This window comes from Homo sapiens, chromosome 3, assembly GCF_000001405.40.
Source record: "Homo sapiens chromosome 3, GRCh38.p14 Primary Assembly".
Classification (NCBI taxonomy): Eukaryota; Metazoa; Chordata; class Mammalia; order Primates; family Hominidae; genus Homo; species Homo sapiens.
Window position 1 is genome coordinate 79,110,759 of NC_000003.12, and position 23,217 is coordinate 79,133,975.

The 23,217-nt window shown below is 36.8% G+C and overlaps 1 protein-coding gene across 10 annotated transcripts in view, besides 1 other annotated feature; it reads right to left on the minus strand.

Moving 5' to 3' along the window:
• The window catches only part of ROBO1 (roundabout guidance receptor 1), a 1,170,760-nt gene that overhangs the window by 513,520 nt on the left and 634,023 nt on the right, over nt 1-23,217 (minus strand). For 9 of the 10 annotated variants that reach the window (XM_047448664.1, XM_047448661.1, XM_017006984.1 and 6 more), the window contains exon 3: nt 14,698-14,781. The exons of the other annotated variant lie outside the window; for it this stretch is intronic. In XM_047448664.1, coding sequence (XP_047304620.1) covers nt 14,698-14,781 — 84 coding nt within the window. The remainder of the gene's footprint in view (nt 1-14,697; nt 14,782-23,217) is intronic. 10 annotated transcript variants of the gene reach the window in all.
• Nucleotides 14,919-15,418: an enhancer, noted in NCBI's record as "H3K4me1 hESC enhancer chr3:79174827-79175326 (GRCh37/hg19 assembly coordinates)". NCBI's record gives its function as "activates a minimal SCP1, AML or CMV promoter by ChIP-STARR-seq in primed H9 embryonic stem cells {active_cell/tissue: H9 hESC(primed)}" and the evidence as "EXISTENCE:reporter gene assay evidence [ECO:0000049][PMID:30033119]".

Sequence of the window (23,217 nt, forward strand, 5' to 3'; positions counted from 1 at the left end):
ACTACAAGTGTGCACCACCACACCTGGCTAATTTTAAATTTTTGTAGATGGAGTCTCGCTATGTTGCCCAAGCTGTGCTTAAACTCCTGGCTTCAAGTGATCCTACTACCTTGGCCTCCCAAGTCCTGAGATCACAGGTGTGAGCTACCATGCCCACACTTGAAGTGAATGAAATCTGAATGCAATTTGAAAATGAGACATTGGCAGTGACACTACAGTGTCATAATATATCACTTGTGGCCACCTTTAATGAAGAGCCAATTACTACAAGCCTCTAGAAAACTCAGTGATTTCTACAATAGACTATTATGACTTTAGTAAAGAATACAAGGTCTGTTGGGTGGGCTACCTGCTTCTGATCGCTCTGACTCATTTATAGAAACAATATACCCAGGTTTTAACTTCTTGGTTCAGGCATAATCAGGAACACAGAGAATCTCTTTTGTCTAATAGCCATAGGGCTATTGTAGCCGAAATGTGACAGCATTGCTGGATTGAGGCTGCCAAATTACATTATAGAATGACTTTTTACCTTAACCAGGCCTCTTGTGTGAAAGTTTAGAGGATCGATTGGGGAATGCGCAGGGCTCTGAAAACTAGAAAGGAATTAGCTGGATGGGTTCAGACAAAACTGAATACCTGATCTCCCAAATTACACTACTTTTCCCTTGCCAGCAGGAAGAGCCCTTTCTTCTTATTGTATGGTGCTGGACCTGCCTCGCTTTGGGAACTGGAGGTAGTTATCACATTAAAAATTACTCATTCACTTTGTATCCCATTCCATCGCTGCTCATTACCTTTAGAGCAAAGATCATATTCATTTCCCAACACGTCACAGCTGTAACTATTCAACCCAGGGAGAGAAGGCTTACTAGCCTTCTAATAACTTATATCAACAGAAACCTGGACAATATCTACAGGATATTATTCTAATTGTGCTAGACCAGAAAAGAAGAAAATAATTTTAAAGTAGCTGAATTTATTGTTATGGTTGCATTTAATGGAGATACTGGATACAAGGGCTAGTTCAAGCAGCTGGAAATGGTTCCAGCTGTGTGCTTGGTATTGACTAATAAAACTTAGACACAAATGATGTTTTAGTAAATAAGGTTTAGATACCAGGAATTCTTTGGCAGAATGGAGAGAGAGGAATTCATGTGGTTATCAAGCACTTGACATGTGGCTAGTCCAAAGCAAGATGTTTTTCTAAGTGTAACATAGTGCAAAAAATGTGAAGTACCTCAATAATACCTTTTGTATTGATTACATGTTGAAACAATAATATCTTGGCTATATTGGGTGAAACAAAATGTAAGTTTTAAAAATTATTTTACCCATTTCTTATTACTTTGTTTTGAAATATGGCTACTAGAAAATTTAAAATGACACATGCGGCTTGCATCTGTGGCATGGATTATATTTTTATTGGGCAGCTCTGATGTAGAAGAATATGAATATTTGAATTGATTTTTCATATGTGACATACTTACTCCTCTTCCAGCTTTGTCTCCTGAAGGGTCCAGAGTCATTCCCTTGAACAAGGCATTTGCACTCCAGAGAAGTGCTCCTGCACATCTGAAAGGCTTTGTCGTGTTTGTTCTTTGTTGGCTAGGGTGAGTTAGGAAGTAACCGCCACTGAAATCAGTCCTTGATTTCAGGAGGGATGACAGGGTCATGGAGTGGTCAATCCAAAATGGTCGTAGCTAACGATCAGAGACAAAGCAAACATAGTTTTCATAGTAGTTGATGAACTCCCAAGTTTATTTTGCTGTGGTTTAGAGATTATTACTTCCTAGAATTCAAATACCTGTGATTTACCAAGGTCCAAATGAGTTCATGTCCTTTGTAGAGACGTGGATGAAGCTGGAAACCATCATTCTCAGCAAACTATCACAAGGACAAAAAACCAAACACCGCATGTTCTCACTCATAGGTGGGAATTGAACAATGAGAACACATGGACATAGGAAGGGGAACATCACACACCCACACTGGGGCCTGTTGTGGGGTGCGGGGAGGGGGGAGGGATAGCATTAGGAGATATACCTAATGGTAAATGATGGGTTAATGGGTGCAGCACACCAACATGGCATATGTATACATATGTAACTAACCTGCACGTTGTGCACATGTACCCTAAAACTTAAAGTATAATAAAAAAATAAGTTTTAAATAGAAAAAAATTGAGATGTGGTTAAAAAAAAAAGACCTAACTTGATTCATAAATTGGAAAGTCATGTTTTATCACCAAATGGAGAGCTCATGAGCCCTCACTCAATGCAGAAGCTTGAAAGAGACTCTTAACTGAGGGAGAAGCCAGGTGGTTGTGAAAAGGACCACAAAATATCAAATTTATGTGCTTTGATTTTCTCTCTGAGCTTCTTTAAAGAAAGCCCATTTATCAGCATGTCTGTTTTGAAGAAAGAGAAACACAGGCTAGTTGATATTGCTAATACCTAGAGATCCAAAACACTAATGTTCCATCAGTCAAAAGATAGAATTTTATCCTAAGTACCTCTGCCCATGTGCCCAGAAATCCATCTTGCGACAGTCTGCCAGTTTTCGATTACATAATTGAATCAGCAATTGGCAAAATAACACATTGTCTTCCTGGCCCATTGAGTGAGGTTTTTTTTTTTAATAGAAAGAAGCTTTTAGAATTGTCACTCTATAGTAAATATAAAAATCAAATGAAAGAACACATCCCTGTAAAAAAATGAAATTATTGGCAAGGTGCAGTGGCTCACGCTTGTAATCCCAGCACTTTGGGAGGCCGACGTGGGTGGATCACCTGAGGTCAGGAGTTCGAGTCCAGCCTGACCAACATGGAGAAACCCTGTCTCTACTAAAAATACAAAATTAGCCAGGCACAGTGATGCAAGCCTGTAACCCGAGCTACTTGGGAGGCTGAGGCAGGATAATCGCTTGAACCTGGGAGGTGGAGGTTGCAGTGAGCCGAGATCCTGCCATTACACTCCAGCCTGGGCAACAAAAGTGAAACTCTGCCTCAAAAAAAAGTCAATTTTAAAGACTTGAAATATACAATAGGCCTTTATCCTGAACTTACTTCCCATTAAGCTTAACTCTTTGGCTTTTAGATCTCAGATAATGATGATTATTGCACACATAACTTATATGGTTTGGCTGCGTCCCCACCTAAATCTCACCTTCAATTGCAATAATCCGCATGTGTCAAGGGCTGGGCCAGGTGGACATGATTGAATCATAGGGGTGTTTCACCCATACTGTTCTCATGGTAGTGACTAAGTCTCATGAAATCTGATAAATGGTTTTATAAATGGGAGTTCCCCTGCACAAGCTGTCTTTCCTGCCTTCATGTAAGACTTGCCTTGCCTCCCTTTATCCTTCTGCTATGATTATGAGGCCTCCCAGCCACGTAGAACTGAGTCCATTAAACCTCTCTCCTGTATAAATCACCCAGTCTTGGGTATGTCTTTATTAGCAACATAAGAACAGACTATTACAATAACCCAGTGGAGATTTAAATGTTAAAGACTCTTCCAGACATTGTCCCTTTATTAGGGAAAATCAACAGAGACCTTGGCACATGAAATGCAGCTACTTTTCAGGCAAATGCACACTTCTCTCTCCAGTAAATGAACAATACTAAAAACATTTTGCTTTCGCTTTGCAGATATAGTAGCATATATTCACTATGTTACCTAAGAGCTACATCAACTCTCTGTTCTTTATTCCTCTGGGATGTTGATTATCTCTGTCCCCAGCTTATCATCCTGGTCAGCTTTTTTTGGTGAACTTAGGCTCATAGATCTTGGTGAGCAGTAAGCAACCATTACTCTATATGCATTTATAAGGCATCGACATTTCCATGGATAAGAGATAAATCCCACAAAAATTTAGGATTCTACCTACTATTCTTGTGAATTTTGTGGGGTCTAGTCATATCAGGACATTCTCTCCAAAGTGAAAGACAAGTGGCTGCTTTTTGGCTCACATTTTTCATTATATACATTGTGTATGTAGTATTTTTGGATTTTGGAAGAAACATATTCCACATCTGGGTGAGCCAATCCTCTATTCACCAAGGGACCCATCATGCTACCACTTTTGAGTGTGATGCAGAACAAGAGAAGGCTGTCCTACTATTTGGGGAATATGCCTCAGGAAATATAATTGTTCAGTGTTGGGATGTGGTATGGTGCTTCTGGCAAGATCTAATTGTAGAGTCATAGCATAGACCACCTAGGACTTTTTAAAAAAGCAGTGACCTCTTTGGAAAATAATCAATAATTAATCTTCCTTTGAAATCCATCTTCTATCTTGTGACTTGGGTCTAGGAATGATTGAGCCTCTGATCAGGGAAACCCAAATTTTCCCCAAATCATACAACCATCATGAACTGGGTGATGGTTGATCTTTCAAATCACAAATGTGCACTGAAGTATTCTATCATCAAGTGGAGTTAGCATCGGCAAAGCTCAAGTAGTTACTAAGAACACAAAAATGTGCTTTGATTGATTCAGGGATAGTGGCTAAAGGGCTGAATGAATGTTTGGGGTGTTTAGAGGGGAGAACTTTGAAGGATATGTAACAACAAAGTCTGGGTAAGAGATACGAGATGGATCCTTTGAATGATTTCAAAATATAAAGATATCACTGTCCTGGTGAACACTTACAAATAAATATTTAGCACGGTAAACAATCAGTAATAGTTACTTGGAGTCCCTCAGCGTCTTCCTCCAGCATCCCACTGCTTGCAAAATTGGCTCATAAACAGTGTTTCCAGGGTAGCAGGGATACAGGTTATATATGGGCTTAATCACATGGTATTACTCTCAACAAAACTGAATGACCACCAATACTGCCTATAGCCCAGTCTGCTCATTGCATAAAGCAATGTTGAGCCATCAATATGATGCAATATTATATCAGGTCTACCAAGCCAAGTTTGTGGCCAAATAATTATATTGAACTCCTTTCACCATGGAAAAGAAACAAGTAAATTTTGTCCTTAGTTGGGGTAGACGTTCTATGAATGTATTTTCTTTCCTTCTTACCATACTTCCGTGCGTAGCAGACCCACCATCTGTGCATTTACTAAATGCATTGTTCTATATGTGGTTATCATGCACAACATTGCTTCCAACAAAAAAATTATTTTCCAATGATAAAGTGAAGAAAGGACTGAAGATAGGCTGCTATAACAGTATAATGACCAGCCAAAATATTCAGTAGATTCAGTTATGGCACCATAACTGCCTTATGAGGTTAAAGTTCTTTCCTTAAGGAAGTAGTGTATGTTTTGAACTAATGACAAATTTCTTGTTTCTTACATTGCTTGTCTAGTAGTGATTAGTGCTATTTACCAATTTCAGTTGTTCCTCCATACCTGTGGGTGATTGGTTCCAGGATCCCCTGCAGATACCAAAATCCATAGGTGCTTAATTTCCATACATAAAATGGCTTAGTATTTGCATATAACCCACAAGCCTCTTCCTGTATAATTTAATCTCTTTCTTTCCCTTCCTTCCTTCCTTTCTTTTCTTTCTTTCTCTTTCTTTCTTTCCTTCCTTCCTTTTCTTTTTCTTTTCTTTTCCTTTCTTTCTTTTTCTTTCTTATTTTTTTCGTTCTTTTCTTTCTTTCTCTCTCCTTCCTTCCTTGCTTCCTTCCTTCCTTCTCTATTTTCTTTTCCTTTCCTTTCCTTTCCCTTTCCCTTTCTTTCTTTGTTTCTTTCTCTCTTTCTCTCCTTCTCTCTCTCTTTCTTTCTTTTCTTTCTCTCTTTCTTCTTTTTTTTTTTTTTTGACAGTCTCACTTTGTCACCCAGGCTGGAAGGCAGTGGTGCAATCTTTGCTCATTGCAACCTGTCTCCTGGGTTCAAGCGATTCCCCTGCTTCAGCCTCTCAAGTAGTTGGGATTACAGACACCCACCACCACGCCCAGCTAATTTTTGTATTTTTAGTAGAGACGGGGCTTCACCATGTTGCCCAGGTTGGTCTCTAACTCCTGACCGTAAGTGATCCGCCCACCTTGGCCTCCCAAATTGCTGGGATTAGAGGCATGAGCTACCAGGTCGGGCCAATTTAAATTACCTCTAGATTACTTATATTACTACTACAATGTAAATGCCATGTAAATGGTTGGTATACTGTACTATTATAAAGTTTGTATAAATGTTATTGTTGCATTACTATTTTTAATTGCTTTTTAAAAGAGATTTTGAATCCATGGATGCAGAAGTGGTGAATACAAAAGGCCGACTGTATTTTTAGTTTTTCCTCTTCTAAGAGCCATAGTAGGATTATATGTCCCTATGCTGTTGTAGTTAGGTATGTCCACAAGGCTGTCTTTGGATAAATAAAAGAGCAGAAGTAATCCCAGCATTTTGGGGGGCCAAGGTGGGCGGATTGCCCGTAGCTCAGGAGTTCGTGACCAGCCTGGGCAAAACGGTGAAACCCCATCTCTACTAAAATAAAAAAAAAATTAGCTGGGCATGGTGGCACGCACCTGTAGTCCCAGCTACTTGGGAGGATGAGGCAGGAAAATTGCTTGAACCTTGGGGGTGGAGGTTGCAGTGAGTCAAGATCGCACCACTGCACTCCAGCCTGGGCGACAGAGAGAGACTCCATCTCAAAACAAAAACAAAAAAAAAAAGAGCAGGAGTTACTTCTCTGCTGAAGCCTGTAAAGCCAGTTCATCATTGTACTTGTTGCAGTCACAGAATCCTGTGTCAAGATGGGACATCTCTTGGCCTCAGGAATCTGAGTGACCATGTTGAATAGAGTGCGCCTGACCTGGGAGGCCTAAGTGAGGAAGAAACTTCCATTTCTTTGCCTGGGAACACTTAAGTTGTGTTGTCATGGAAATCTTACTTTTGCTTGTTACTGTGGCATAACCTACTGTAATACCCACGTATATCACTGCAATACCAACCTGTAGCTGACTAAATAGTTTCTTTCAAGCAATGTAAAGTAACAGTAAAATGTTTTACTTTTATTTAGACACATACGTACTTTTCACTTAGCCCTCCAAATATTAACTTTTTGAAATAAATGGAAGGTGGACTGATGTCTATGATAGTGAAAAAAATATTTACAGGAATAAGTACAAGGAGAAAAATTCATCATTGTCCAAAATTCTCTCTAAGAATTAGAGATTAGGAAGGGTTAGCCAATTGTCTTCTGGTTTTCAAGAAAAATTTGTAGACTGCCAAATATTTCCTTTCTGTGAATTGAAAAACTAAAACAAACATGAAGACAATAATTGCCATAGGGCCACAACAGTAATATAAAGAAGTGCAGAGATGAGACTGTACCCATGGCTTGTGCTCACTGGAAGGTGAGCATCATGATATCGGCATGTACTACTTTGAAGGCTTTTGAGACAGGTACGAGTCTTACTAGGTTAGTAGAGTCATTTCCAAAGCCAGTCGTCCGCAGTCAACCTGAAGAATAGTTCAGCTAAAAATATTAGGCTGGTACAAAAGTAATTGTGTGGGTTTTTTTTTTTTTTTGCAATTTTTAATGGCAAAACCTCAATTACTTTTGCACCCAGCAAATATTAATTTTCTTGCATAAATTGCTGGGTAAACAAAGATTCTTACTGAATTATCCAAATAATTAGCCAGTCACTACTGTAGCTGCTACAACCCAAGTATTATTTGTTTCTTTAAATTTCCCTAAAATTTCTTAATAAAACTTTAAATCTGAATTCTTCATAAATTCTACCTTATGGATGTTGGCATACCTAATGAACACCTGTATATTTTATGTATATTTTGTGTTTCTGAGTGTGTTTACTTACCTAGGCATCCCTAAAATTTGTAGCTTTTGCTTATATTTTAAAAATTGGGCTGGGCGCGGTGGCTCACGCCTGTAATCCCAGCACTTTGGGAGGCTGAGGCAGGTGGATCATGAGGTCAGGAGATGGAGACCATACTGGCCAACATGGTGAAACTCCATCTCTACTAAAAATTCAAAAATTAGCTGGGCATGGTGGTGCGTCCCTGTAGTCCCAGCTACTTAGGAGGCTGAGGCAGAATTGCTTGAACCCGGGAGGTGGAGGTTGCATTGAGCCGAGACCCCACCACTGTACTCCAGCCTGGTGACAGAGCAAGACTCCAACTCAAAAAAAAAAAAAAAAAATTTGAAGCAATCTCTCCACAGTTAAAACTATTTATCAAAAGTAATTAAATGAAAATTTTCTATCAAAATCAAGATTTAAAATATTTTATTTAAGTTCAGATACTGCTTTTCCTTCCCCACTATAAAAACTCAAAATGTTCAGCTCCCAAGTTTTCCACACGGAAAATATTATCAAATTACTAACGAGAAATATCTACATATATATTTGTTCACTTGGAAAGGTTTAAGTCTCCAAAGTGCTAATGAGAAACTTTAGTGTTAGAAATAGTGTTAATAAATGTGTGGAAAACACACAATTAACCTTTAATTTTTAAGAAATAATTAAGATAAACTGCTTTAAACTGTTCTTCACAGACTCCAATTATTGTTAGAGCTTAATTTACTTTTTAATGCTCAAATCCACTTGAAGCTCCCATGTCCTGTGTTCTTCAGGAGGATAGAATTACGCATGTCTACTACCTATTGTCCATTATTATGAAAATTAAACCATTTTTCTTTTTCTCTGAATTCTAGGGAAAAGACTTTTGGAGTATGAGACATGAATTTAACCCACGATGCTAATTTCTGTCTCATTTGCTTGCTTGCATATTTTCCAAGAATTGGCAAAATTTCTTAATAATTGAGGTCACCCAAAACAAATCACAAATTTGACACATTTATATTTATTTCCCAGAACTATTGAAAGACTAAACCAATTGATTAAATTGATGTGAGTTGATAACTTTATTTCCAATATAGATTTGTACCAAGTAGAGATGGTTTAATTTATCTTCATTTTAAGAAATGTTTATTAATTTCCTGTTATGCATAAATTAGTAATCCATAAGGTTATAAAGAGAAGCTAATGATGGGGCCACCAGATTGATCCACAGATGAGTGATTCATGGATTTTTTTTTTTTTCTTGTTGAGAAAGATTCTAACTCTCTTGACCAGGCTGGAGTGCAGTGACATGATCTCAGCTCACTACAACCTCTACCTCCTGGGTTCCAGTGATTCTCCTGCCTCAGCCTCCTGAGTAGCTGGGACTACAGGCACATGCCACCATGCCTGGCTAAGTTTTTGTATTTTTAGTAGACATGGGGTTTCACTATGTTGGCCAGGCTGGTCTCAAACTCCTGACCCAATGTAATCCATCCACCTTGGCTTCCCAAACTGCTGGGATTACAGGTGTGAGCCACCATGCCCGGCTGTGATTCATGGTTTTGATCTTAAAAGATAGTATACCTCATATACCCCCATGTACTAAGCACAGTGATAAAAGTATTTGTGGACAATAAACATAAAGGTTGTTTCCCAGGAAGTTGGAGAAAAAAACAAAGAGTTAGAAATTAGGAGAGAAAAACAAGAGGCTAATGGATCAGTCCAAGAGGCCCACTGCCTGACTAGTAGCAATTCCGAAGGATAGCAGAGAAACTAGAGATGAAAAAAATTATTATAAAAATATTAAGAAAATTTTCCATAGCTGAAATAAATAGTTCTCCAGGTTGAATGGGCCCATCTAGTGTCCTATGTTGAAGGAAAACAAATCAACAACAAGCAAGCGTGGACAGAATATCACAAGCACATCCTAGTAAAACTTTTTTGATTTTGATATTCTCCAAGCTTTTCTTGAATATGCTTTCTGGAGGACAGGCTTCTTTTAATTAGTGAAGAAACCAGGAAAGAGAAAGTAATTAGATCTAAGAAACAGGAGATCCAACAGAAAAGAGTGATGTAAGAAAGTCTTGGGTCTGAAGAGAAACCAGTGGGTTTGGGACAAAAATATGAAGGGTTTAATGAGGGAGGTGTCAGAGAAAATCACAGATTGATGGAATACTGGACATAATTGAGCATCTAGAATGTTAAAAAAATGCAACTATTGACTCCAAAAAATAATCAATTGTATACAGAAAAGGAAAGGTACTTACAGTGTCATACTTAGCTCTGAAGCAGACTCATCTAAGGATAGTTTGCTTAGTAAAACTAATGTAAACTCTCACTATTAATTTAACAAATAAAGTGACAGTAAGATAATGGGAAAAATGATTAACTATATAATGTTTAATATTTCTGACAAATCTGACATGGTGGATCTGTTCAATTTCTAACTACATGCCCAAATGTAGCTTATAGACACAACTCATTTAAACTCAAGACTATGTGAGATTAGGAAGATGTGATTAATTTTGAACTATTTATCTTTTAGAATATTGAAGCAGACCCCAGGCCCTGTCTCTATTAATAATAGCACTGTCTTAGAGGGTTGTTGTAAGGATTAAATGAGTTGTTGCAGGTAAAGTGCTCAGAAAATGGCCTTGCATGCGTGTAGTAATAATGAACACTGGTTATTAGATTCAGTACATACACGTTAAAAATTCACATACCAAAATGGTGTTTTTGCTTAGTTTGAATGGTGAAGCAATACAATGAAGAATGTAGGGAGACACAAGAATCAGTGTCATCATCAATTGTTTCTTGTTGAAATTTCTAAGCATGAGACAAAACAAGGTTTTGGGATTGGATTCAAGTTTATATGGGCAAACATACTCATTTGTCAATGCTTTTCTTTCTTTCTCTTTTGTTTTTTTTAATAAGAGAATATATTTTGTTTCCTTCTAAACAATCATTACCAAACTTTACTTGGAGGTAGTGTTGAGTGGTAGAAGCCCTAAATACCCCTATTTGAAATTACTATGAAACCTCTGACATTTCATGGCTAGATTTTACTTAAATTGACAGTGACAAAACTCTGATAATCTTTTAGTTTTAAGATTTTAAATTTGCATATCACATTTCTTCCAATATTCTATTGTAAATATAGGCACCTATTCCTTAAAACAGACCTGTGGAGATGGAAGACATTTTCTTATTTTAGTATGTAAAATTAGGGACAAAGGGTATATTTTAGACATTTCAAGTCAAATTTACAGACTTTTTTTGTTACTCAGAAAAAGGAATAATGTTAAATTCCTTTCCTGATTACTGCTTTGTAAAAAGATTAAGAATGTTAGTAGGATTTCATTAGCACCCACTTATTCCCTGAATTTTTAATGTATCAATAAATTTTTCTTTAAATTTTGTGTCCTTGTCTAAAGTTTTTGACAGAAATCTATACATAAATTATACGTATATTTCAGAAATTTCAATATTCTTAGATTTATTACTTAATTTTTTTATATTTGTGAAACACTATATGCACTTCCAGCAGTCAATAAACACTCTGTTCCTTTCAAAAGCCTCTTCAAAAAATCATTGATTATTACATATTCAGACTCTTTTGGATGTATGTTTGACCCAATAAAGTGCTGATTTGAAACCTCTTCTTACTTGTTCTTGCAACAAAGGCTATATGCCGCGAACTGTTAAATAACCCCCAATATTTATGACACGCGTGGTTAAACAAGAAATGGGCCACTTCACTGTAAATAATGCCCAAGTCCACTTTAATAACATACCACAGTGCTACCTTAGAAATTGTGTTGCATTCATTGATTTGTAAGAGTGAAACTGAAATATTTCAAAACCTTACATGGCTTTATAGCATTGTTTCTAGAGATGGTAAGGAGAAAAGGAATCAATATGTTTCTTCCCTGATACTCTATTTCCATTTTAAAAATTTGATCCCAACTAAATCACTTACAAAATTTAGATTAGAATGGTATATGATATAAGCAGCAACTACTATTATGAGAGATTATCATTTGTTCACTAGATCATTAGTGGATATATAGATTTTAAGATATGTGTATGATATGAGATCCATGCACTCTCGTTAAATGGGTCAGTTTGATAGTGATGCTCCCAAATGGCTTAAGTATCAGAACAGATGTTGTAGTAACAAATTAGCTTGCAGTGGAAATTATACTGTTTTTAGTATTGAAAAAAAGGATAATTAGGGGAATGTAAATGGGAATTTTAGTGAAATAATGATCTTCTTCTTTTGGGATTATTTCATGTTCCCCCCAAAAATGTTTTCCAGGACTATACAGGTTTATTTTCTTTTTTATATATACTAAATGTTAGGGTGAGGGAGAAAAGTCTCACATGTTACCTCAATGAAATGAAGCAACATGTAGTAAAAAAATAAACATCTGATGTATAAAATCTGCACAGTCCATTTTGAGATATTGTGTAAATATAGATGCCACAAACAATACCTAATATACTTGCTTGTTAACATCGTTTTGTAACTAACTCATATCAATGACTTACGTGAAAATTGCATTGCACATTCTCTAAGTTGCTTAATATGTATATTTTATTTCTTAAAACTTCTTGCTGCTATGCCCAGGGTTATTAAACTCCAGATATACCAAACTCTAGACAACTTACATTAAATATATAAAAGTGTTCCTGGACAGATAGGCCATCTCACTTTCCTCTGAACTCAATTTTCTCTAATATAAAGGTTCTATCTACTCAATTATCTGTGACTCTAGTACAGGGAATTCATACATTCAGACATTCACACACATGCATGTGCACACAAAAGAAAACAATATCTGTAGGTAATTTTAACTAATATTTTTAACTATTACTCCTCAACTATATAGCCAATTGGTATCTTTCTTTACAGTTGTCATGATGCAGTCAACATTATTTTTTCTACTTTATTGTTCTTATCACTTGCAATGGAAGTTATAATGAATATAAGTATGGTTAACATGCAAACAAAAGAGACAAATAACATTTTTTGATTTGTATAGCAGAAGAGAGGTTTCTGAGTAATCAAGAATTTTCCAAAACAAAATATACAGAATAGACTTCCTTTAGCACTAGGTTGTTAAAGACAGTTACAGTCTCAGGAACAAGATTATTCAGAAGATTGTCTTTCAGTCACTTTGCATTAAATTGTAATACTTTAAGTTAGTTCCATTATAGACTATAAAGATAATTTTATAAGTTTATTTCCTCATGTTAATTTATCTAATGATATGTTTAATAGGACAAATCTGACACCTGATTAACCTGAAGGGAAAAAATAAAAATGAAAAACATTAATGCTATATTTAATCTGAAATGCATTGTTATTTAAATTCTCTTAATTCAAGACTCCAACATGATTTATTCATTACTTATACATAATTTTTGGGAAATCCACAAAAGATAAAGAGCAAACTCTATTATTGTATCAAAACAATGCAGTTGTTTAGACTGGGTGAGTACAAGGGAATAGAACTAAGAAGCACTGGCAAATTAGGATACCCCTGAGAAAGAATACTACCTTGGATTCCTCCTTTCACAAATATGAACTTCTTTGGTATTGACGGTATTAAGGGATAACATTTACAACTTTTTTGTAGCTAAGTTTCTGGGAAAGTATCACACAAACTCCCTCACCATCCCACCCCCATAGACTTTCATTTGTTGGTCTTTGAATCCTCATTCTTATGTTGGAAGACAGGAAAAATGCAAATGAGTTATTTATAAGAGCAAAACAAATATACCAATATTAAAGTTGTTTATAAAGGTCTTATTAACTGTACTACTTATTTCAAGTGTTTAAAACCTACAATTATGTAGGCAAGGAACAAAACTGGAGAATGATATTTATGAAGACTGTGAGGATGCTTCAAAAGTAAAATATCAAGTCTATTATTTTATCTAAAGTGAAATGTGCCTATTGAATTATGTTTTTCTTTTAACACCATCATCTATATGATTGTTATGATACAGAAGAGGACTCTATCATCTCTAACCCTAACTACCCCACCTCATACACACACAACCTATCCACACAGCTCACAACTTAGCAAAGTCTATGGAGAACTGTGTTAACAAGGACCAATGAAGAGAACATTACAAATAGCTGATCTTACAACAAGACCACTGTTACAACATTATCTAATTCAATGGGTTATAAGTGATGTCTTGTATTCCTTCTCCTTACCTAAAGTTTTAGTCAAATTATCTCAGAGTTAGAGATATAAATTATACAATTATATTTAGAACAAAAAATTCCATGTGACACATATATTTCCAGGGTGATCATTCTTAAACATTTATATATCAATTATTTCTAATACAATTAGTTAATTTGTTACTATTATGCTGGTGTACACATGCATCTATTTCAGAAGTCGTTGGTGTATAAGGTAACAATAAGTCATGCAAACACAATCCAAAGATGTAAGTTGGTGGTTATGAATTACATCGCTCTAAGAGTTTTGCTTTCTTTTGTTTTTAAGACTACAAGTGTAAAAAAAAAAAAGTACAGATAAATTTGAATCCAAATTACTTGCAGGTAGTGTTTTTTTCCTTTATGATAAAAACTTAGTCAAATATTAAATTTCTAAGAAAATATCATTCTAAAAATACTAGCAGTATCAAAGTTTCAGATTGATAAGCATTCTTTTGTATTAAACATAGTAAAACAATAAGAATGATTACAGTTTCCATGTACATTTCTGTTCTTAAAAGTGTTTACTTTAGCAATATGATCTGATATGAACAGAATGAAGTTTGAAAAATGAGAAATTGTGGTTGTTAGCTGGAAGCAGGGATGATTCGATTAATTTTATACAGGTGGTTGATGGTTGATGGAGGTGGAGGCATTTCAGGAGGAAGTTAGTATTTGGGAAAGAGACACTCTACCTGTATAGCCCAGCGAATTGTCATCGTTATCAGAGGTGGGGATTGGCGTCCCGTGGTCGTTCCCCCTCTCTACATCTTCAGGGTCTGTCGGAAACAACACCAGAGCTGCTGATGGGGTCACAGTAGTAACAGTAGTTGCCATTTCGATCACAGCATGTCCAGACACAAGTAAATCCACATGTGACAGAAAAACACACAAGGACAACACACAGCACGCTTCATCCTTGCCCCTCCTGCGGCACACTAAGCCCTGCGAAGGTCTCAGCATCATGGTTTTTACAGTTTCTACTTTTTCTCCTTAATTTCCCTAATTCTCTGCCCTGCCTGCACCTTTGCTACACTTCAAAGCTGGCGAAGGGCTCCGACTGCCCTCTGTGAGGCCGCCAGCACGGACTGAGAGAGCATATGGAGGAGGGAGAGGGCAGGGTGGCTGAATGCTAGCATTGCTAATTTTCTACCTTATTGTTAATCAAAGCTATTGACTGTGATCACTCCCCATCATCGCTTCATCTCCTGGCAATTACAGACTCCAGAGATTGTACCTCATATGAGGCAGGGAGGATGTGGGGAAAAACAGGTCTTGTCAAATAAGAGGGAGGATGATAAAAATGTCATACTTTTTTCTGAGAAACACGGAAGAAAACGGTGCAACATCACGTCTTTCAGAAGGCAACAATCTCTCATCTTAAAGGACTGATATAAATTTACTGCAATGAATGCATGACTGAAACACATCTAACTTTGGATATTTTGGGTTGGATATTTTAAAACATTCCAAAGTATTGGATATTTTAAAAGATTCCAAATTCCGTATAAGTATTTTCATTCATCTATGCTTATTTTTCTTAAATAAAAAATGCATTTTTTCTGTTTTTCTTAAATTGCACATTAATTTTCCCACGCAGAATTTTAGAGTGGAGGCTAAGCACAACAACACTCCAGTTTCCATATCCAGACTCAGAGTAGCAGAGGAGCAGTATGTGTGTATATAGAAGCTCAATGACACTACCAAATTTCCCTGGTGCACACTCTACCTGTCATCTATATGTAAGATAAGTATGAGCAGTGTTTATAGGTCTGCTACTGAGAAGCAGACACAGACACAATAAAAAACAAGAGTGTACCTCCTAAATCGAATAATGTAGAGCCATAGGTCATTCAAGTTCTGATGTTCTGCGGGCTTTCAAGAGAATCACCTTTAACATTATCTACAGAGGAAGGATTTCTTGTTCTGAGCAGTGAAGAAGCGCAGATGTTTACTTGGGGAACAGTGTGTCACTTATGGCTGAGCCAGTGAGTACATGCAGGTACTGCCCCTCTAGAAACATCACAGAGGTCATTAATTTTGTGTCTCCACTAGCTAGGTCAACATATTTTGTCTTAGACACAGCTATTCAGGGATGATTTGGAAATTCTTAAAAAAGGAATACAAAGACTAACATGAGTCCACTTGGTTTTTTCATGCGGCATATTTCCCCCCCTAATCTCCCTGCTTTCCCTCCTCCTTCCCGTAAGTGTCGCGTAATTATAATAACCTGATGTGGCTAAAACGAAAAAAAAAAAAAAAGTTAAGATCTGTGCAGACAAAAGAGAAAAGATACTCATTCTTGCTTTATTCATCCTTGCCTCTCTAGTGATGGCTGTTGTCATTTTACCCTTAAAATAGATGCTGCAAGTGATAAGGCAGAAAAAGCGTCCACTTTACCTTTCCGGCCCGTGAACTTATTACACGCACACGTTGTTTAGGTCAAACTTTTAAGCCACATCAGTGAGAAAGAATGGGGAGCAGGCATTTTTGTGTGTTTTGAGGCAGTGTTCACAATGTTCTGTCACAAGTCATCTTGCTCATGCAAACTAACCAAATATAAGAGGCTGTTGTAGGAAGATCATCAGAAATTGCTTGGTCAAATGCATGAAACGGCTTTTAAGAAAACCACCCTGCTTACCTACAATCTTGTTTTAAATGATAGAATGTGTTTAGAATCACTTTAATTTTATGAATTATTTTTTAGTAACACAATGCAGACTTTTAAGGGAAGTTCTACTTTTAATTTACAAGCAATCAGTTATTTAATGTGGACGCACACATTTCTAATCACTCTGTTACAAATACTATACAGATTCATCCAAATCCACAATATAAATTAAATCAGCGTGTCTACACAATATTACAAGACTTTTGGGATGAGGTTTGTGTACTTTTGTTATTGAATTCTTCCTGAGAATGGGGATATTATTATGAAAGCAAGAGATGAGGAAAATAAATTTACTGTCATTTGAAATGAGATACCTAAATCATATAAAACAGATTTCCACCTGCATGTAACCTATCTTAAGTGGCTTATAAATTTGCTTCTCTGTTCCTACTCATCACCTTTCTGGCCCCTTCTTAGGCTCAGGAAAGAATAGATCTTTGCATTAATCAATGAATCTTACCATATCTCTAAAGTCCATTCAATCTACCTTGTTCTGCCTTTAATTAATGATATGCTAGACCTAAAGGAAACAAAAGGTGCTATTTTTAGCTGCTTTGCTAATTTTTTTCTTTCTTCTCCTTCCTGTCAAAAGATAACAATAACATGAAATAGCCACTTGACTCACTGCGACAGAGCTGGAGGACTAATTTAAGACCAGTCCAAAGACATTTACTTAAATTTTTGGTTAAATAGCATTGATTATGCGAGCTATGGACTAGAAGATAGCAAGGAAGAGACTATTGTGTGTTTACCATATCTAAAGGAGGTCCTATATTCCAGCTCTGAATTTAGGGCTACCCAGGCCTGAATTGAAACAGGTTCAGCTGCAATTGGTGAAAGCTGTCATCCCATCTAGAAACACACTGTCACTAGAGGTGCTGGGTTTTATGTGTCTGTCACCCCCATTATAATCTAAATTCCTGAGGATCAGGTATTCTGTCTGCTTCTCATTTGTGTACCTACCCATTTTACATTGAATCCAAAATAATAGATAAATTAGTAAAGAGATGGTAACCAAGAATGCAAACCTTACTTAAGTGATAGATGCTCAATCTGAAACAATTGAAAAGGATGTAAATTGTATTTTCTGCACCAGTATTCTATGCAAAGCGGGGATAAAAAGCTTGCTACAAATAAACTCAAATGCTATTGTACATCCTATGTCCTCAAATCCATACAAACCAATAAGGCATCTTTCAATATAAAAAGGAAGTCTTGAATCATAACATCATAGTCATTCAGGGTTGGAAATGGGTCAGATGGACCCCCATAACAATCTTCGATGAGACGTATACACTCTTGTGAATTTAGTGGCCATTGGACCTTCACTGCTTTTCAGGGTGATCAATTCCAATTTTATAATTAAGTCTTGTTTTTTAAATTTGTTTTAAAAAATCTTTTTTCTAGATTTTCTATCCATTGACTCCAAGTCTGGAGGAATGTATAGAACTAATGCCTCATCCATGACAGCTTGTTTCCCTCCCCATACTCCTTAAATACTTGTGTTTCACACAGCTCCAGATTTCATCCTGTTCTTTTCAAAATGCTGTCTGTAGATATCTTCATCTGAGTCCAAGGCTTCGATTATTTTTCATAACATATGCAACTTGTACATTTCTCAATTGGATGCTCTACCAACAACCAAATTTATTTCCATTGGTGATTCAACTTCATGTAAATTCAAAGAAGCTTCACACTTTTTCTCACTCAACACTAAACTGATCGGCTTGTTTTCAACCTACTTCTTTCCTATAGTCCCTACCTATGTTACATATTTTACATAAATATTAAATATTTTAAGTATTTTACAATTCAGTAAAAAGTTAGCATCTGGGGTTAAAACTGAAATCTGATCTATAGGCTTATGGTTTATAAATATTTTGCGATATGGCTTTATATATTTTTGTGTAGGGGTTGTATGCCATACTTAAACTTACAATATATAAGGTTATATGTGTGTGTGTATATATGTACATACATAAATTAGTAATTACATACATACATATATACATACACACAAACAGTATATAAGTGGACAATCTTAAAACAGTCTTTCACATATATAATAACAGCAACAACTATAAAAGGAAATAAACACCTATATCTTCCTTTACAGTATAAATTATGTCCTCAAGGAAACTTTGTCTTTAAATATAATAATTCATTAAATGTTTGGGTTTTTAAACATTAATTATTTTTTAATTGACAAATTTAAATTAAGTACAACATGATGTTTTGAAATATGTATGCATACATTGTAGAATGGCTTAATACAGCTACCTAACATATGCATTACCTTACACACCCATCATTTCTTGTAGTGAGAACACTTAAAATTGAGTGTCTTGCCTAGGTTTTCTTCTAGGGTTTTTATGGTTTTAGGTCTAACGTTTAAATCTTTAATCCATCTTGAATTGATTTTTGTATAAGGTGTAAGGAAGGGATCCAGTTTCAGCTTTCTACATATGGCTAGCCAGTTTTCCCAGCACCATTTATTAAATAGGGAATCCTTTCCCCATTGCTTGTTTTTCTCAGGTTTGTCAAAGATCAGATAGTTGTAGATATGCGGCATTATTTCTGAGGGCTCTGTTCTGTTCCATTGATCTATATCTCTGTTTTGGTACCAGTACCATGCTGTTTTGGTTACTGTAGCCTTGTAGTATAGTTTGAAGTCAGGTAGTGTGATGCCTCCAGCTTTGTTCTTTTGGCTTAGGATTGACTTGGCGATGCGGGCTCTTTTTTGGTTCCATATGAACTTTAAAGTAGTTTTTTCCAATTCTGTGAAGAAAGTCATTGGTAGCTTGATGGGGATGGCATTGAATCTGTAAATTACCTTGGGCAGTATGGCCATTTTCACGATATTGATTCTTCCTACCCATGAGCATGGAATGTTCTTCCATTTGTTTGTGTCCTCTTTTATTTCCTTGAGCAGTGGTTTGTAGTTCTCCTTGAAGAGGTCCTTCACATCCCTTGTAAGTTGGATTCCTAGGTATTTTATTCTCTTTGAAGCAATTGTGAATGGGAGTTCACTCATGATTTGGCTCTCTGTTTGTCTGTTGTTGGTGTATAAGAATGCTTGTGATTTTTGTACATTGATTTTGTATCCTGAGACTTTGCTGAAGTTGCTTATCAGCTTAAGGAGATTTTGGGCTGAGACGATGGGGTTTTCTAGATAAACAATCATGTCGTCTGCAAACAGGGACAATTTGACTTCCTCTTTTCCTAATTGAATACCCTTTATTTCCTTCTCCTGCCTGATTGCCCTGGCCAGAACTTCCAACACTATGTTGAATAGGAGCGGTGAGAGAGGGCATCCCTGTCTTGTGCCAGTTTTCAAAGGGAATGCTTCCAGTTTTTGCCCATTCAGTATGATATTGGCTGTGGGTTTGTCATAGATAGCTCTTATTATTTTGAAATACGTCCCATCAATACCTAATTTATTGAGAGTTTTTAGCATGAAGGGTTGTTGAATTTTGTCAAAGGCTTTTTCTGCATCTATTGAGATAATCATGTGGTTTTTGTCTTTGGCTCTGTTTATATGCTGGATTACATTTATTGATTTGCGTATATTGAACCAGCCTTGCATCCCAGGGATGAAGCCCACTTGATCATGGTGGATAAGCTTTTTGATGTGCTGCTGGATTCGGTTTGCCAGTATTTTATTGAGGATTTTTGCATCAATGTTCATCAAGGATATTGGTCTAAAATTCTCTTTTTTGGTTGTGTCTCTGCCCGGCTTTGGTATCAGAATGATGCTGGCCTCATAAAATGAGTTAGGGAGGATTCCCTCTTTTTCTATTGATTGGAATAGTTTCAGAAGGAATGGTACCAGTTCCTCCTTGTACCTCTGGTAGAATTCGGCTGTGAATCCATCTGGTCCTGGACTCTTTTTGGTTGGTAAACTATTGATTATTGCCACAATTTCAGAGCCTGTTATTGGTCTATTCAGAGATTCAACTTCTTCCTGGTTTAGTCTTGGGAGAGTGTATGTGTCCAGGAATGTATCCATTTCTTCTAGATTTTCTAGTTTTTTTGTGTAGAGGTGTTTGTAGTATTCTCTGATGGTAGTTTGTATTTCTGTGGGATCGGTGGTGATATCCCCTTTATCATTTTTTATTGTGTCTATTTGATTCTTCTCTCTTTTTTTCTTTATTAGTCTTGCTAGCGGTCTATCAATTTTGTTGATCCTTTCAAAAAACCAGCTCCTGGATTCATTGATTTTTTGAAGGGTTTTTTGTGTCTCTATTTCCTTCAGTTCTGCTCTGATTTTAGTTATTTCTTGCCTTCTGCTAGCTTTTGAATGTGTTTGCTCTTGCTTTTCTAGTTCTTTTAATTGTGATGTTAGGGTGTCAATTTTGGATCTTTCCTGCTTTCTCTTGTAGGCATTTAGTGCTATAAATTTCCCTCTACACACTGCTTTGAATGCGTCCCAGAGATTCTGGTATGTGGTGTCTTTGTTCTCGTTGGTTTCAAAGAACATCTTTATTTCTGCCTTCATTTCGTTATGTACCCAGTAGTCATTCAGGAACAGGTTGTTCAGTTTCCATGTAGTTGAGCAGCTTTGAGTGAGATTCTTAATCCTGAGTTCTAGTTTGATTGCACTGTGGTCTGAGAGATAGTTTGTTATAATTTCTGTTCTTTTACATTTGCTGAGGAGAGCTTTACTTCCAACTATGTGGTCAATTTTGGAATAGGTGTGGTGTGGTGCTGAAAAAAATGTATATTCTGTTGATTTGGGGTGGAGAGTTCTGTAGATGTCTATTAGGTCCGCTTGGTGCAGAGCTGAGTTCAATTCCTGGGTATCCTTGTTGACTTTCTGTCTCGTTGATCTGTCTAATGTTGACAGTGGGGTGTTAAAGTCTCCCATTATTAATGTGTGGGAGTCTAAGTCTCTTTGTAGGTCACTCAGGACTTGCTTTATGAATCTGGGTGCTCCTGTATTGGGTGCATAAATATTTAGGATAGTTAGCTCCTCTTGTTGAATTGATCCCTTTACCATTATGTAATGGCCTTCTTTGTCTCTTTTGATCTTTGTTGGTTTAAAGTCTGTTTTATCAGAGAGTAGGATTGCAACCCCTGCCTTTTTTTGTTTTCCATTGGCTTGGTAGATCTTCCTCCATCCTTTTATTTTGAGCCTATGTGTGTCTCTGCACGTGAGATGGGTTTCCTGAATACAGCACACTGATGGGTCTTGACTCTTTATCCAACTTGCCAGTCTGTGTCTTTTAATTGCAGAATTTAGTCCATTTATATTTAAAGTTAATATTGTTATGTGTGAATTTGATCCTGTCATTATGATGTTAGCTGGTTATTTTGCTCATTAGTTGATGCAGTTTCTTCCTAGTCTCAATGGTCTTTACATTTTGGCATGATTTTGCAGCGGCTGGTACCGGTTGTTCCTTTCCATGTTTAGTGCTTCCTTCAGGAGCTCTTTTAGGGCAGGCCTGGTGGTGACAAAATCTCTCAGCATTTGCTTGTCTATAAAGTATTTTATTTCTCCTTCACTTATGAAGCTTAGTTTGGCTGGATATGAAATTCTGGGTTGAAAATTCTTTTCTTTAAGAATGTTGAATATTGGCCCCCACTCTCTTCTGGCTTGTAGGGTTTCTGCCGAGAGATCCGCTGTTAGTCTGATGGGCTTTCCTTTGAGGGTAACCCGACCTTTCTCTCTGGCTGCCCTTAACATTTTTTCCTTCATTTCAACTTTGGTGAATCTGACAATTATGTGTCTTGGAGTTGCTCTTCTCGAGGAGTATCTTTGTGGCGTTCTCTGTATTTCCTGAATCTGAACATTGGCCTGCCTTGCTAGATTGGGGAAGTTCTCCTGGATAATATCCTGCAGAGTGTTTTCCAACTTGGTTCCATTCTCCACATCACTTTCAGGTACACCAATCAGATGTAGATTTGGTCTTTTCACATAGTCCCATATTTCTTGGAGGCTTTGCTCATTTCTTTTTATTCTTTTTTCTCTAAACTTCTCTTCTCGCTTCATTTCATTCATTTCATCTTCCATTGCTGATACCCTTTCTTCCAGTTGATCGCATCGGCTCCTGAGGCTTCTGCATTCTTCACATAGTTCTCGAGCCTTGGTTTTCAGCTCCATCAGCTCCTTTAAGCACTTCTCTGTATTGGTTATTCTAGTTATACATTCTTCTAAATTTTTTTCAAAGTTTTCAACTTCTTTGCCTTTGGTTTGAATGTCCTCCCGTAGCTCAGAGTAATTTGATCGTCTGAAGCCTTCTTCTCTCAGCTCGTCAAAATCATTCTCCATCCAGCTTTGTTCCGTTGCTGGTGAGGAACTGCGTTCCTTTGGAGGAGGAGAGGCGCTCTGCGTTTTAGAGTTTCCAGTTTTTCTGTTCTGTTTTTTCCCCATCTTTGTGGTTTTATCTACTTTTGGTCTTTGATGATGGTGATGTACAGATGGGTTTTCGGTGTAGATGTCCTTTCTGGTTGTTAGTTTTCCTTCTAACAGACAGGACCCTCAGCTGCAGGTCTGTTGGAATACCCTGCCGTGTGAGGTGTCACCATTCAGGACATAGGCGTG